The following is a 17,491-nucleotide window of genomic DNA, read 5'->3' as shown; positions in this document are numbered from 1 at the left end:
GCTATGCGGGCTCTTTTTTGGTTCCATATGAAGATTAAATTAGTTTTTTCCATTTCTGTGAAAAAAGTGAATGGTAGCTTGATGGAGATAGCATTGAATCTATAAATGACTTTGGGCAGTAAGGCCATTTTTATGATATTGCTTCTTCCTATCCATAAGCATGGAATGTTTTTCCATTTGTTCGTGTCCTGTCTTATTTCCTTAAAGCAGCGGTTTGTAGTTCTCCTTGAAGGGGTTCTTCACATCCCTTGTAAGTTGTATTCCTAGGTATTTTATTCTCTTAATAGTAATTGTGAATTTAAGTTCACTCATGATTTGTCTCTCTGTTTGTCTCTTATTGGTGTATAGGAATGCTTGTGATTTTTGCACATTGATTTTGTATCCTGAGACTTTGCTGAAGTTGCTTATCAGCTTAAGGAGATTTTGCGCTGAGACAATGGGGTGTTCTAAATACACAATCATGCCATCTGCAAACAGGGACAATTTGACTTCCTCTCTTCCTATTTGAATACACTTTATTGCTTTCTCTTGCCTGATTGCCCTGGCCAGAATTTCCAATACTATGTTGAATAGGAGTGGTGAGAGAGGACATCCTTATCTTGTGCCAGTTTTCAAAGAGAATGCTTCCCGTTTTTTTCCCTATTCAGTATGATATTGGCTGTGGGTTTGTCATAAATAGCTCTTATTACTTTGAGATGCATTCCATCAATTCCTAGTTTACTGAGAGTTTTTAGCATGAAAGGCTGTTGAATTTTGTCAAAGGCCTTTTTTGCATCTATTGAGATAATTGTGGTTTTTGCTGTTGGTTCTGTTTATTTGATGGATTACATTTATTGATTGTGTATGTTGAACCAGCCTTGCATCCCAGGGATGAAGCCGACTTGATCGTGGTGGATAAGCTTTTTATGTGCTGCTGGATTTGGTTTGCCGGTATTTTATTGAGTATTTTTGCATTGATTTTCATCAGGGATATTGGTCTAAAATTCTCTTTTTTTGTTGTGTCTCTGCCAGGCTTTGGTATCAGGATGATGTTGGCCTCATAAAATAAGTTAGAGAGGATTCCCTCTTTTTCTATTGATTGGAATAGTTTCAGAAGGAATGGTACCAGCTCCTCTTTGTACCTCTGGTAGAATTTGGCTGTGAATCCACTGGTCCTGGACTTTTTTTAGTTGGTAGGCTATTAATTATTGCCTCAATTTCAGAACCTCTTATTGATATATTCAGAGATTCAACTGCTTCCTGGTTTAGTCTTGGGATGGTGTATGTGTCTAGGAATTTATCCATTTCTTCTGGATTTTCTAGTTTATTTGCATAGAGATGTTTATAGTATTCTCTGATGGTAGTTTGTATTTCTGTAGGATTAGTGGTGATATCCCCTTTATAATTTTATTGCATGTATTTTATTCTTCTCTCTTTTCATCTTTATTAGTCTTGCTAGCTGTGTATCTATTTTGTTGATCTTTTCAAAAAACTAGTTCCTGGATTTATTGATTTGTTTGAAGGGTTTTTCATGTTCCTGTCTCCTTCAATTCTGCTCTGATCTTAGTTATTTCTTGTATTCTGCTAGCTTTTGAATTTGTTTGCTCTTGCTTCTCTAGTTCTTTCAATTGTGATGTTAGGGTGTTGATTTTAGATCTCTCCTGCTTTCTCTTGTGGGCGTTTAGTGCTAAAAATTTCCTTCTACACATTGCTTTAAATGTGTCCCAGAGATTCTGGTACGTTGTGTCTTTGTTCTCATTGGTTTCAGATAACATTTTTATTTCTGACTTACTTTCGTTATTTACCCTGTAGTCATTCAGGAGCGCGTTGTTCAGTTTCCATTTAGTTGAGCAGTTTTGAGTGAGTTTCTTAATCCTGAGTTCTAATTTGATTGCACTGTGCTCTGAGAGACAGTTTGTTGTGATTTCTTTTCTTTTACATTTCCTGAGGAGTGTTTTACTTCCAATTATATGGTCAGTTTTAGAATAAGTGCGATGTGGTGCTGAGAAGAATCTATATTCTGTTGATTTGGGGTGGAGAGTTCTGTAGATGTCTATTAGGTCTGCTTTGTCCAGAGCTGAGTTCAAGTCCTGGATAACCTTGTTAACCTTCTGTCTCACTGATCTGTCTAATATTGACAGTTAGGTGTTAAAGTCTCCCATTATTGTGTGGGAGTCTAAGTCTCTTTGTAGATCTCTAAGGACTTGCTTTATGATTCTGGGTTCTCCTGTATTGGGTGCATACATATTTAGGTCATTTAGCTCTTCTTGTTGCATTGATCCTTTTACCATTATGTAATGTCCTTCCTTGTCTGTTTTGATCTTCTTTGGTCTAACGTCTGTTTTATCAGAGACCAGGATTGCAACCCCTGCTTTTTTTTTTTTGCTTTCCATTTGCTTGGTAGATCTTCCTCTATCCCTTTATGTTGAGCCTATGTGTGTCTTTGCACGTGAGATGGGTCTCCTGAATACAGCACACTGATGGGTCTTGACTCTATCCAATTTGCCAGTCTGTGTCTTTTAATTGGGTCATTTAGCCCATTTACATTTAAGGTTTGTATTGTTATGTGTGAATTTGATGCTGTCATTATGATGCTAGCTGGTTATTTTGCCCATTTATTGATGCAGTTTCTTCATAGCGTCGATGGTCTTTACAGTTTGGCTTGTTTTTGCAGTGGCTGGTACCGGTTGTTACTTTCCATGTTTAGTGCTTCCTTCAGGAGCTCTTGCAAGTCAGGCCTGGTGGTGACAAAGTCTCTCAGCATTTGCTTGTCTGGAAAGGATTTTATTTCTCTTTCACTTATGAAGCTTAGTTTGGCTGGATATGAAATTCTGGGTTGAAAATTCTTTTCTTTAAGAATACTGAATATTGGCCCCCATTCTCTTCTGGTTTGTAGGGTTTCTGCAGAGAGATCTGCTGATAGTCTGATGGGCTTCCCTTTGTGGGTAACCCGACCTTTCTCTCTGGCTGCCCTTAACATTTTTTCCTTCATTTCAACCTTGGTGAATCTGACATTTTATATGTCTTGGGGTTGCTCTTCTCGAGGAGTATCTTTGTGGTGTTCTCTGTATTTCCTGAATTTGAATGTTGGCCTCCCTTGCTAGGTTGGGGAAGTTCTCCTGGATAATATCCTGAAGAGTGTTTTCTAACTTGGTTCCATTCTCCCCGTCACTCTCAGGCACACCAATCAAATGTATATTTGGTCTTTTCACATAGTCCCATATTTCTTGGAGGCTTTGTTAGTTTCTTTTCATTCTTTTTTTCTCTAATCTTGTCTTTTCACTTTATTTCATTGATTTGATCTTCAGTCATTGACATCCTTTCTTCCACTTGATCGAATCGGCTATTGGAGCTTATGTATGCTTCATGAAGTTTTCATACTGTGGTTTTCAGCTCCATCAGGTCATTTAAGCTCTTCTCTACACTGGTTATTCTAGTTAGCCATTCGTTTAACCTTTTTTCAAGGTTTTTAGCTTCCTGGTGATGGGTTAGAACATGCTCCTTTAATTTGGAGAAGTTTGTTATTACCAACCTTCTGAAGCCTACTTCTGTCAGTTCATCAAACTCATTCTCCATCCAGTTTTGTTCCATTGCTGGCCAGGAGTTGTGTTCCTTTGGAGGTGAAGAGGTGTTCTGGTTTTTGGTATTTTCAGCCTTTCTGCTCTGGTTTCTCCCCATCTTTGTGGTTTTATCTACCTTTGGCTTTGATGTTTGTGACCTATAGATGGGGTTTTGGTGTGGATGTCCTTTTTGTTGATGTTGATGCTCTTCCTTTCTGTGTGTTAGTTTTCCTTCTAACAAACAGGCCCCTTAGCTGCAGGTCTGTTGGAGTTTGCTGGAGGTCCACTCCAGACCCCATTTGCCTGGGTATCACCAGCGGAGGCTGCAGAACAGCAAATATTGCTGCCTGTACCTTCTTCTGGAAGCTTCGTCCCAGAGGGGCACCCGCCTGTATGAGGTGTCCAGTCAGGCTACACGGGAGTCAGGGACCCACTTGAGGAGGTAGTCTGTCTGTTCTCATAGCTCAAACACTGTGCTGGGAGAACCACTGCTCTCTTCAGAGCTGTCAGGCAGGGATGTTTAAGTCTGGAGAAGCTGTCTGCTGCCTTTTGTTCAGGTACGTCCTGCCCCTAGAGGTGGAATCTAGAGAGGCAGTAGGCCTTGCTGAGCTCCAGTGGCCACCGCCCAGTTCAAGCTTCCCTGCCTCTTTGTTTATACTGTGAGCAGAGAACCTCCTACTCAAGCCTCAGCAATGGTGGACGCCCCTCTCCCCGCCAAGGTCCAGCGACCCAGGTCAATCTCAGACTCCTGTGCTGGCAGCAAGCAAGGCTCCATGGGCATGCGACCCTCTGAGCCAGGCACAGAAGGGAATCTCCTGGTCTGCCAGTTGCGAAGACTGTGGGAAAAGTGCATTATTTGGGCAGGAGTGTACCATTCCTCCAGGGACAGTCAGTCACGGCTTCCCTTGGCTAGGAAGGGGAAAACCCCTGACCCCTTGCGCTTCCCGGGTGAAACGACACCCTGCCCTGCTTTGGCTCGCCCTCCGTGGGCTGCACCCACTGTCCAACCAGTCCCAATGAGTTGAACCAGTCACCTCAGTTGGAAATGCAGACATCACCCATCTTCTGTGTCAGTCTCGCTGGGAGCTGTAGACCAGAGCTGTTCCTATTCGGCCATCTTGGAAACGACTCTTCGATCACTATTTTCAATGACTGAATTTGTCTCAAGGAAGCTGAAGTAATAGGATTTTTATCAGACTATCAATTCTTATAACTAGTTTGTGACTTTAATAATAAGTGTGTGTGTGTGTGTATATATATATATATATATATTTTTTTTTTTTTTTTGAGATGGAATCTGGCTCTGTCACTCAGGCTGGGGTGCAGTGGTGTGATCTCAGCTCACTGCAACCTCTGCCTACTGGGTTCAAGAAATTCTCCTGCCTCAGCCTCCTGAGTAGCTGAGACTACAGGCATGCACCACCATGCCTGGCTAATTTTTTGTGTTTTTAGTAAAGATGACGTTTCACCATGCTGGCCCAGCTGGTCTAGAACTCCTGACCTTGTGATCCACCCACCTCAGCCTCTCAAAGTGCTGGGATTACAGGCATGAGCCACCGTGCCTGGCAGGTTGTTTATATTTCTTTGGGGTCAGTGGTGATATCTACCTTATCATTTCTGATTGTGTTTACTTCATTCTTCTCACTTTTCTTCATTAGTCTAGCTAGAGGTCTATCTATTTTATTAATATTTTCAAAAAATCAGCTCCTGGATTCATTGAATTTTTTGAAGGGTTGTTTTGTGTCTCTGTCTTCTTCAATTCACCTCTGATCTTGGTTATTTCTTGTCTTCTGCCAGCATTGGAGTTTGTTCGCTCTTGGCTCTCTAGTTATTTTAGTTGAGATGTCAGATTGTTAACTTGAGATCTTTCTAGCTTTTTGATGTGGGCATTTAGTGCTATAAATTTCCCTCTTAACACTGCTTTAGCTGCATCCCAGAGATTCTGGTACATTGTCTCTTTGTTCTCATTAGTTTCAGATAAATTCTTGATTTCTCCCATAATTTTGTTGTTTACCCAAGAGTCATTCAGGAGCAGGTTGTTCAATTTCTATGTAGTTGTGTGGTTTTGAGTGAATTTCTTAATCTTGAGTTCTAATTTGATTGTGCTGTGGTCTGAGAGACTGTTTGTTATGATTTCATTTCTTTTGCATTTGCCAAGGAAAGTTTTACTTCTGATTATGTGATCAATTTCAGAATAAGTGTCATGTGGTGATGAGAAGAATGTATATTCTGTTGAATTTCGGTGGGAAGTTCTGTAGATATCTATCAGGTCCACTTGATACAGAGCTGAGTTCAGGTCCAGAATATCTTTGTTAAATTTCTGTCTTGATGATCTGTCTAATATTGTTAGTGGGCTGTTAAAGCCTCTCACTATTATTGTGTGGGAGTCTCAGTCTCTTTGCAGTTCTCTAAGCACTTGTTTTTTGAATTTGGTGCTCCTATGTTGGTTGTATATATATTTATGATAGCACTTCTTGTTGAATTGAACCTTTTACCATTATGTAATGCCCTTGTCTTTTTTTAATCTTTGTTGGTTTAAAGTCTCTTTTGTCAGAATCTAGGGTTGCAACTCCTGCTTTTTTCTGTTTTCCATTTGCTTGGTAAAATTTCCTCCATCCCTTTATTTAGAGCCTGTGTGTGTCTTTGCATGTGAGATGGGTCTCTTGAGGACAGCATACTGATGGGTCTTGGCTCTTCATCCAGCTTGCCATTCTTGGTCTTTTAATTGGGGCATTTAACCCATTTACATTTAATGTTAGTATTGTTATGTATGAATTTGATCCTGTCATGACGATGCTAGCTGGTTATTTTGCAGGCTTGGTTTATGTGGTTGCTTCATAGTGTCACTGGTCAGTGTACTTCAGTGTATTTTTGTAGTGGCTGGTAACAATTTTTTCTTTCCATATTTAGTTCTTTCTTCAGGAGCTCTGGTAAGGCAGGACTGGTAGTAACAAATTCCCTCAGCATTTGCTTTTCTGAAAAGGATCTTATTTCTCCTTTGCTTATAAAGCTTAGTTTGTCCAGATATGAAATTCTCAGTTGGAAATTCTTTTCTTTAAGAATGTTGAATATTGGCCACCAGTCTCTTCTGGCTTGCAGGGTTTTTACTGAGAGGTTTGCTATTAGTCTGAAGGGTTTCCCTTTGTAGGTGACCTGGCCTTTATCTCTGGCTGCCCTTAACAGCTTTTCTTTCATTTGGACCTTGGGGAATCTGATGGCTTTGGGGAATCTGATGTGAAGACACATCTGATTATATGTCTTGGGGTTGATCTTTTTGTGGAGTGTATTACTGGGGTTCTCTGCATTTCCTGAATTTGAATGTTGGCCTGTCCTGATAATCTGGGGGAGTTCTCCTATATGATATCCTGAAGTATGTTTTCCAACTTGGTTCCATTCTCCTCGTCTCTTTCAGGTACCTCAGTCAGTCATAGGTTTGGTCTCTTTACATAACCCCATATCTCTTGGAGGTTTTATTCATTCCTTTTTGTTCCTTTTTCTCTATTATTGTCTGCCTGTCTTATTTTGGACAGTCTTCAAGCTCTGAGGTTCTTTCCTCTGCTTGGTCTATTCTGCTATTGATACTTGTGATTGCATTGTGAAGTTCTCATGTTGTGTTTTTCAGCTCCATTAGATCTGTTATGTTCCTCTCTAAACTGACTGTTGTGGCTGTCAGCTCCTGTATTGTTTTATTGTGATTCTTAGCTTCTTTGCATTGGGTTAAAACATGCTCCTTTATCTCAGTGAAGTTTATTATTACCCACCTTCTGAAGACTATTTCTGTCAATTCAGCCATCTCAGCCTCAGACCAGTTCTGTGCTTTTGCTGGAGAGGTGTTGCGGTCATTTGGAGGAGAAGAGGCACTCTGGCTTTTTGAGTTTTCAGCATTTTTGTGTTGATTCTTTCTCATCTTTTTGGCCTTAATCTACCTTTGTTCTTTGAGGTTGCTGACCTTTGACTGAGGTTTTTGTGGGGTCTTTTTGTTGATATTGTTGTTGTTTTCTGTTGATTTGTTTTTCTTTTAGTAATCTGGCCACTTTACTGTATATAGGGCTGCTGTGGTTTGCCAGGGGTCCTCTCCAGACCCCAGTTGCCTTGGTTTCTCCCATACCTGGAGGTATCAGCAGAGAAGGCCATGAAGCAGCAAAGATGGCAGGCAGGTCCTTCCTCTGGAAGCTCTGTCCCAGGGGGTAGGTACTTACCTGTTGTTGGCCTGCATGCACCTATAAGAGGTGGCTGGAGACCCCTGCTGGGAGATCTTAACAAGTCACAAGGAATGGGATCAGGGACTTGCCTAAAGAAGCAGTCTGGCTGCTTTTTGGTAGAGCACATGTGCTGTGTTGAAGGGGACCCTACCTTTTCTGGACCGCCTGTATTCTCCAAAGCCAGCAGGTGGGAGCAGCTGAGTTGACTGAACCCCAGACATGGCAGTCACCCCTTGTCCCCGGAGCTCGGTCCCAGTGAGATACCAAAGCGCTGTCCTTAGAACCCTTAGCCAGTGTATTTCTACACAACATGAACACTTGAAATGTTACTGGGCAACAGTAGTGGGTGTTCATAGTAAAATTTGTATTGTCAAGATAATATTAATTTGTTTTATTATGTTTGAAGGTGTACTGTTTAGCGAGGCAGGGAAACATTTTAGAAGCAGTTCGACTTAGATTTTTCCATTAAACACAGCTCTTTCAAGTATTTGAAAAACTCTTATATTACTGAAAAATTAAGTGTTTATGATAGCTAGGATTTCATTATTTTATTGAAAAATAATTTAGTTCAACTGCCATCCACATTTGAATTACTTAATTGGCATGAAGACTGGGATGTGAAGGAGCTGATTTTCAAAAATTGGTATCAATAACTATGAACTGGGTTACTGAAATACATGTGGAAAATAATAAATATTAAAATAAATGGAAGGAAAAGTGTGATAAAGAGTATTATATTTGTAAAAATTAATTAAAAAATAAAATGTAGGAGGAAATAATAGGAATTAATTGGTAAAAAATAGAGTATATACTATTCTGATAGATATGGAATGCAATTAAAATAGGTAACGTTCACATGAGCAAGTCATAAATCTTTTATTTTCATGCTTCATGACTTGTTAAGGTCTTCCACAGAGATTATTGAGTCACACTTTAAGATGGTAAAGCCAAAACCTCTTGGGAAAAAGTCTCTTTAGGGAAGAATAGGGTCTTTCCTGGCATCTTAAAAAATATAATATATAATTAATTAATTATATGAATGGGGCAGAAAACTTTTAGTACATCCAGTGAACAATTTTAGTGAGAGTAGACATAAACTGAAATATAGTCATGTGCTAATGCAGGTATCACTGCTGTAATCACTATGAAATATTTTATATATGTTATTTCCCGGGTTGGACTCCAGAAATTTAGTGTATGTTTCTGTTTGACTGTTGGGTACACATTTCTGTCTCCCTCTCTATAATAAGTACCTGTATGTGACTTGTAGCTGATTAATTCCTATATAGTAGAGAAAAACTTGCACCTTTGGTTGGTGGGAAGTGGAATTTGGGGTGAGACTAGATTGAATAGCAGAGATGGTAGCTTTCCTTGTGTTAAATTATAAAAGGAGCCACACAGGGTTTCGGGAGAGCTGTATGGAATCTACTGTGACACTTCTGTAGCTCTGAGAGCTGTGAAGAATTCATAGCTAGCAGTCATATAGAACTTGCTGGCTCAGTGCCTTTTTTTGGTCTTTTTTTCCCCTGTTTTTTTTTTTTGTTTGGTTTTTTTTGTTTGTTTGTTTTTGAACAGAGCATCAGATTAGTGCCAAAAAAAGAAAAATAAAGGAAGAGGGCTAAAACAGAGTTTCTTCCCTGTTAGAGTATTAATTCCTAGTAGGTAGGAGCTATATACCTGCTATAGCATATTGTTTTTAACTCACAAAGTTTCACTTATAACTAATTAAAAAATATATAAATGATAACCTAATAGTTTATATGTGTATACAGGCACATACTCTTTCTCTCTCTGTATATAATTCATTTTGTTCTAAGCCAAAATACATTTTTAAATTACCAGTTATTATTATTATTTTTTTCTTTAAGAGACAGGATCTTGCCCTGTTGCCCGGGTTGGAGTGTGGTGGCACGGTCATAGTTCACTGCAGACTCGAACTCCTGGGCTCAAGCAATGCTTCCACCTCAGCCTCCCCTAGTAACTAGGAGTACAGGCATGTGCCACCATGCCCTCTGCTTATTACCAGTTAAATTTTAAGTAACAATATTTTCTATGATTATCACGTATTTTAAAATAAAATGGGTGAATATGTAGATTACCTTAACTCAGAATTGAATTGACTATGCTACAAAGAATGATTTTACCAAGTTCTAAGTATGTGTTAAGTGAATTTGATGATGGTATGCATTCATTCTTCACATATTTTTTGAATACTTTCAAAGTGGCAGCCACTTTTTAGAAGTTGGTATATATCCTGGTAAAACAAAGTTCCTGTCTGCAGAGAGATTACATTCTAATGAGACATTTCAGTGAGAATGATCTAGAAGTATAAACACATTGGGGCCCGGACAAGCTTGTGTTTTGGGAATAGCCAGAAAGCCAGTGAAACTAGAATTGAGTGAATGAATGAACTAGGGGGAGAATGGAAAGAAGTGAGATCAGAGAGCAAGGCAGAGGCCAGATCATTTAGGGCCTTAGAGACCAGGAAAGGAATTTGGATGTTACTCCAGATGTCATGAGAAGTCATTATAGGGTTTTGAGCAAGAGAGCTGCCGGATCTGAGTTATTTACATGTACATACACACACATGTATATCTATGTGTATATACACATATATATATTTTTAAATCACTCTGGCTAAGATGTGGAGAAGCATCAGTACAGGGGCAAAAATGGAAACAGGGACACCAGATGTTGCAGTAATCCAGATGAGAAGTGATGATAGCTTGGACTGGGGTGCTGAAATGGAGGTAGTGAGACAAGGTAAGATTGAGAATATTTTTTTAAAGGTAGATCTGATAGTATCAGCTGAAATAGGGTGTGAGAGAAGTCATGGATGATTGAGTCCCTGGAATTTTTTCCTCAACAGCTTAGTGAATAGTGGCTTGCTGATTTGCTGAGATGTATGAGTGTTGGTGTCAATTTTATTTTAAACCTTTACCTCTTAAATAAGAAATAATTATATTAACATTAAGTATGTAAAAGGTTTTTGAAAAGTCATCATGAAAACTTCTTTTTCAACAGGCGGAGTACGTCCAGCTTGTTACTGAACTTCGAATGACAAGAGCCATTCAGCCTCAGATCAATGCTTTTTTACAGGGCTTTCATATGTTCATTCCACCCTCCCTCATACAGCTTTTTGATGAATATGAATTGGTAAGGAAAAACATCAGTTCTTATGTTGTAACACAACAACAAAAAACTCTAGTTGATGTAATTCAGAAATAATTGTGGAGTATTATGATGAATGAAATAATGTATAAATGAGACAAAATGGTTTAATGTCCATTTTTAGAGATTTGATATAAAATTTATGGATGAGCATCTCTTAAGCTTAATAACCAGATAAGCAGCTCCTTAATGTGAAGTGAGGTGAGGTGGTGACAAACTAAAATGGAATATATTCCTGTTTCTTCTATATGGGAGATGTTGAAGGCCAGTCTTCCTATATACACAGTATTCTACATTATTTCTGAATTTTTTATTTGACCACATGATGTAAAGGGCGCTGATACTAACTTCTTAAACTTCTAAAAAGAATTAAGAAGGTTTTTCTTATTGTATAGTATTGTCTTCTCCAGTTTCTTATATTGCCATATATATAATTTTATAATTCTTTATTTCAAACCTATGGAGTCCATCGTCTTTGCCATCCTCTAGTCCCTAATGAATGTTTGGTTTTGCTACTTTAATTTGCCTTTATTGTACTGTGATCCAACAGGATTTCTAATTTTATATGATTTATGTCTGCATTTTTCTCTATTTTCTTTTTCTCTTTAGTTTTGGTAATTTGGAGAATTATTTTTAAACTCTTTGAGTTGTCTAAATCTTAATAAAGCACAGTATTTTAAATAGCATATAGCTGCTTTCTTACCTAAAAGTATATAATTTGGAATAGTAAGTTCCAGATCAGTGGAAATGTTTTATTTAGTTTTTATTCTGTCTCAGAAAATTAGTTTTACCCCATGCCTTTCATTTTAGTATATGGATACAGATACGGATATATACCTTTAATTTTACATATGTATCAGTATTTTTAATTTATCATTCATAGTATATCTTAGTATAATAGTGAATAAAATTTGCTAATTAATTTTGAAGTCCATTGTGATTTAGTTTCATTAAATGTAAGTTTTGAGGTTTTTTTGATTGTTTTTAAGCTGTACAGTTAATGGCTTCAGTTAGCATAGATTTGTCTAGTTTTTATGTAACAATAGAAGTGATTTTCAGCATTTAAAAATGGAGGACTATTTGAGCTATTATATTATTAGACCTGACTGCAATATGGCTTTTCCTGTACTGTGCTTGGATTAAATTAGCCTTTTGAAATTCAAAACAGAGCATTAGTTATTTGCTGGACCTATATGTATGTAAAAAACAAATAGCAACAACAAAAATAATTGATGAAAACTTTGCCTTGTAATTTACTGATATCAATAAGTTTATAAAACTTTGGGTTATGATATACATGCAGAAAAGGACACACATCATAAATGTATAGCTTGATAAGTTTTAACAAACTGAACATACCCATGAAACTAACACCCAGATGAAGAAACAGAAATTCTAGCACCCCATATGTCACTCTGTCATCTCCCTCCAGTCATTCTCCCACCTTAAGGGTAACCATTCTCCTGACTTCTAAAATCATAGACGAGATTCGCCTATTTTAGAATTATGTAAATAGAATGTATCTGGCTTTCTTAGCTCAAGTTTTTGTTTGTGGGAATCATACATATTGTTGCATGCAGTTGGTAATTTGTTCATTTTAATTGCTGTATAGCATTTCAGTTTCCTTTAGTCTTTTCTACTCTTGATGAACATTTAGTGGGTACTTTTCAGTTTCAGGCTCTTTCAAGTACTGCTGCTATAAACATGCCTTTAGGAAAACATAAGTTTGCATTCTGTAGGTTATATGCCTTGGAGTGGAATTGCTGGGACATAGGCTGTGCATGTACCCCATTTCAGTAGATAGGAGCAGATAGTTTCTCAAGTGATGCATCAGTTTACACTCCCATTAGGAGGTGTGAGAGTTCTGGGTGTTCTGCATTCTCACTAGCATTTGATAATTTTCCATCTTTTTCATTTCCATTCTGGTAATTCAGTAGTGGTCTTTCCTTGAGATTTTAATTTGTATTTACCTGATAGCTAATGAAGTTACACACCTTTTATGATTATAGCCATTTGTGTACTGTTTTCAAAGTGTCTATTTAAGTAATTTGCCCACTTTTCTATTGTGTTTTTTTTTCTTTTTACTGATTTGTAGGACTCTTTATGAATTCTTTTATAAGAGTCTTTTATCAGATATATGTATTATGAATATTTTCTACTCAGGTCTTTTCAGTGAATAAAAATTTTGGGGTTTAACATAGTTCAGTTTATCAGTTTTTTTTGTTTTGTTTTGTTTTTTTTGATGGAAGAAGCTTTTTGTGTCCTGTTTTAGAAACTGTTTCTTACTCCAAGGCTGTGAAGATATTTTTCTGTGTTTTCTTTTAAAAGCTTTATTCCTTTATCTTTCACATTTAGGTCTGTTACTGGTAAGTTTTTAATTGTGGCTCTTACATTAAAATTTAGATCAGGTTCCTAGTTTGTCTTGGACTCTGACTTTACTAAGTTGAGCTGATTCACATTTGGGAAGAGCAACATTGTAGGCATGGTCTTGATTTATACAGTGATAATAATAATTATTAAGCATTTAGTATTTGCCAGGTATTTTATATGTATTAACTTTAAAAACGCTCACAAAAAATCTCTTGAGGTGAGTACTATTGTCCCCATTTTACAGATGAGAAAACTAGGCCAAAGAAGATATGGAACTTGTTCATGGTCATAGAGCATGTGTTAGTGATAGGCTATGAACTCATGTTCCCTGACCCCAGATACCATCACTGTTGCCAGTCTGCTGCTTGGTGGCATGAGTAATCAGAGGGACTTGGCTTTAGAACTTTTTGTGTGACTTTGTGTCTTTCATAGGGGAGGGCTATGCTGCACTGAGAAAGGAAACTTTTAAAAAATTTGGTACAAACGTCTAAACTAGATGTGCATCTGAGTTAAAGGATTCAGGTTAAATTCTAGAGTTTTAGTGAGGAGAAGGTATCGAGTAGCTCCAGTGTACTGAACTGGAGGTGTAGTCATCCATTGTAGACAGAAGGCATCAAGAGATGACTGTGGACTGTTCTTCCATACTGTGCTGCTTGTGAATTTATCCATGATAGAACCAGAATATAAAAACACTGAATCGTGTGATGCTAGGTAAGCTGATGCCTATGAATACTTTCATGATTCAGTTTCTAACTATTAGTATGAGTTATATACCTTACACATAGTTCCAACAGATGAATTCAATTATTTTGTTGTATTAAAAAAATTGATTGGGGCTTAAAATATTTTTCTTAATATGTACATTTTATTCTGGAATTCTCATTTCATCTGTTTGTTTTTGGTCAGTTTAGTAACCAGATGGGATAATAAAGATCCTTTCTTTTTCTTCTTCTTGAAAAAAAATCGTAACAATTAATGTGATATTCATGAAGTGCTTCAAATTTCTTGAGAGAATATAATGTTAGTCATTTTTATTCATAATTATGAATAATGAAAGCATACTTAATATTATTGAAAGCTTATCTTCAGCCTAGAAGGGAAAAGGATTAAACTCATGAATTGTAAGACATGCGTAAAGCCTGTCCCACTCCCTTTTAGCAAACCTATATCAGAGTCCTGTCAGGGAACAGAATTTCTCCAGATGGTTCAAATATCGAAACTTTAACAAAGGGACTATGACAGAGGTATGGGCAGTGTTAAGAATAAACAATGTCTAGTGAGACATCCACAGACTGGCAACAGGGAAAGCCTTTATCATCCCTAGGACTGAAGAGACAGGTAGAGGAATTACTGTGAAGAGCCCCGTGGGAGCCTGAACCACCAAGGAGGGGCCACCTGATGGTAGCCATACTTGAGGAGCCATAGCTACTGCAAAGAGATGCTGAAGCAGTGGGGGAGCAGAGAGTACCCTCACCTCCAGACTAACTGCCTATGTTTCCCAGGCTCCAAACCCAAACCAAAGCCAGCTGGCAAGACAGCCAGCAGGCAAAGCAGCCAGTCTGCAGTGCAAAGGAAGCTAGAGAATGTATTTGGGGGTGGTCAATGTAGACTAGACTGTCTTCATCTAGGAAAAGGATTCTATAACACTGTGACTAGGACTAAAACACACCCTATACTAGCAGTTCTAAAACTTTTTGGTCTTAGGACCCCTTAAAACAAAAGAGTTTTTGTTTATGTGGGTTATGTCAATGGATATTTACTTGAAATTAAAACAGAAATGTAAAATATTTTATTCACATAAAATAATCCATTATTATATTAACATAGAGAACATTTGAAAAACTAAAATTGCATTTTCCAGAACAAAACAGAAACAGTGGGAAGACTGGTACTGTTTAACAGTTTTGCAAATTTCTTTAATGTCTAGCTTAGTAGAAGACAAATGGGCCCTTACAACTGCTTTTGTGTATAATCTGTTTTGGTATGTTGTTTGGTTGAAATATATGAAGAAAACTCAACCTCATACAGATAAGTTGGAAAAGGGAGAACCTCATGGACCCACTGAGTAGATCTCGGAAACCCTCAAGAGTTCTCAGATGTTGCCTTATATCAATCTTATTTAAGGTACAAGGTCAGGTATATGTTATGAGTAGTTTACTATAGGAGACATGATTTTGAATCACAGGGCATCTACATCCCTGTAATAAGAAATCCTGGCCGGGCACGGTGGTTCACGCCTGTAATCCCAGCACTTTTGGAGGCTGAGGTGGGTGGATCACAAGGTCAGGAGATTGAGACCATCCTGGCTAACACGGTGAAACCTCATCTCTACTAAAACTACAAAAAAATTAGCCGGGCATGGTGGCAGGCGCCTGTAGTCCTAGCTACTTGGGAGGCTGAGGTGGGAGAATGGCGTGAACCCGGGAGGTGGAGCTTGCAGTGAGCCGCGCCACTGCACTCCAGCCTGGGTGACAGAGCCAGACTCGGTCTCAAAAAAAAAGGAAATCCTGATATTCTGAATCATCAGTGTAAAGTGTAGGCCAATCATTGCCTCCCCTGACTATGTAAGCATCTCTAACTGTGATATATGGACTGATTCAGAGAAGTGGACAAGCTCTTTTCATGTCCTCTTTTCCCTTGGAAAACAAAAAGGTAAATACTTTGCCATTCTTAATTTCATTTTTACTTATACGATTGAGATTTTGTGTCTTTGATGATCTTCCTGGATAAAATAAACCTATCAAGTCATTAGGAAAATTGCATTTTTTTTGACTTTGGAGAAAATTGACTTTACAGGATCCAAATTATTCCAGAATTGAATTCCTAAAAGGCCTAAATCTTTTTTAAAAATCGTAACTATTTTTATATTACCTCCTTTTTCCTCATGATAATGATTTCTTGATGACTTTCCCCTTGTTTAGTCAAGTATTTATTCGGGTCTTTGTTGTCACTTTCATGTTGAGAATACTGTCTCCTTACAGAAGTTAACAAAATTGCAAAGAATTGTAAAAATATAAAGTAAACCAAAGATAATGTTCATAAAACTTTTGCACATATAAACTGTTGTTGCATATGTTCACACATAAACATATAAACTATAATCTCTTATGTTTTAATGAAATTGTATCAATGTGGAAACATCTCCACATCTTATAATATTTGAGATTATCAGCGTCAAGGATTCTCTCTCATGTAATGCTTGTTGTTGATGACATGCAGGAACTGTCACAAAAATATATCAGTTTTACATGGGATTAGTTTCTAATTATGGCAAATTTACCACTTAAATATAATAACTTTTTTCCCTAAAGAAAATTATTGAAATATTTTTCTTCTTCCCCCAAGGAGCTACTGCTTTCTGGCATGCCAGAAATTGATGTGAGTGATTGGATAAAAAATACAGAATACACAAGTGGCTATGAAAGAGAAGATCCAGTTATTCAGGTAAAATTTCTCTAGAGCTTAGAATGAAGTTAAGTTTTGCCGTTTAATTTTGTAAGCTTTTCAGCACTATTGGATGAAAACTTACATTAATTAACAAAGTAAAGTGTTTACCCAAATTATTCTTGTGGGAATAGTGCATATGAAAGCTTTGCATGAAATCATTTTTGGTAAACGAGTTTTGTAGAATAAAATGTGCTTTATGAATATTGCATATTTCTCTGGTATTGAGAAGTCTACAATTGCTCTGAAATATGAGCTAAGTTTTTTGTTCTTGTTGTTAGTGGTTCTGGGAAGTTGTAGAAGACATTACTCAAGAGGAGAGAGTTCTTCTCTTACAGTTTGTTACGGGCAGGTAAGCAGTATTTTTATGATAATATGGAAATAATTTAATGTATTCTGCTTTTAATGGCTTAGAGATAACTAAAATAAGGAATTATTACTCTGAATTGTCAGTAACTTACCACCCTTTCCACTGTTTTAGGTATTAAAGAAAGATTTATTTTGGTATTAAAGATAAGACATTTATAGTAGTGAGCAATCATGTTTACTTAATATATTAAAAAGCATCTCCAGTTAGGATTATCAGTATATTGTACTTTATAATTTGGAAATCTTTTTGCTCTGCAGGTAGGTCAATGATAGTAGCCAAATTTTTAATATTTGTATATTATTTTAATATTTTAATATTTGTATATTGCTGGTTTGGTTTAATAGTAAGGCAATTCAGTTTATCCTGGTTAACTCTGTATTACCCATACACAACAG

General features: G+C 37.3%; 1 protein-coding gene across 18 annotated transcripts in view; it reads left to right on the top strand.

Moving 5' to 3' along the window:
* HACE1 (HECT domain and ankyrin repeat containing E3 ubiquitin protein ligase 1) overlaps positions 1-17,491 on the top strand; it is a 131,826-nt gene that overhangs the window by 98,682 nt on the left and 15,653 nt on the right. For all 18 annotated transcript variants that reach the window (NR_146787.2, NR_146789.2, NR_146790.2 and 15 more), the window contains 3 exons: positions 10,766-10,897; positions 16,628-16,726; positions 17,008-17,078. Coding sequence is in view for 11 of the 18 variants with exons in the window: in NM_001350555.2 (NP_001337484.1) it covers positions 10,766-10,897; positions 16,628-16,726; positions 17,008-17,078 (302 nt within the window). In the remaining 7 variants the exon portion in view is untranslated. The remainder of the gene's footprint in view (positions 1-10,765; positions 10,898-16,627; positions 16,727-17,007; positions 17,079-17,491) is intronic.

Source organism: Homo sapiens, chromosome 6, assembly GCF_000001405.40.
Source record: "Homo sapiens chromosome 6, GRCh38.p14 Primary Assembly".
Lineage (NCBI taxonomy): Eukaryota > Metazoa > Chordata > Mammalia > Primates > Hominidae > Homo > Homo sapiens.
Note: the sequence above shows the minus strand (reverse complement) of the source record. Positions and strands in the feature narration are given on the sequence as shown.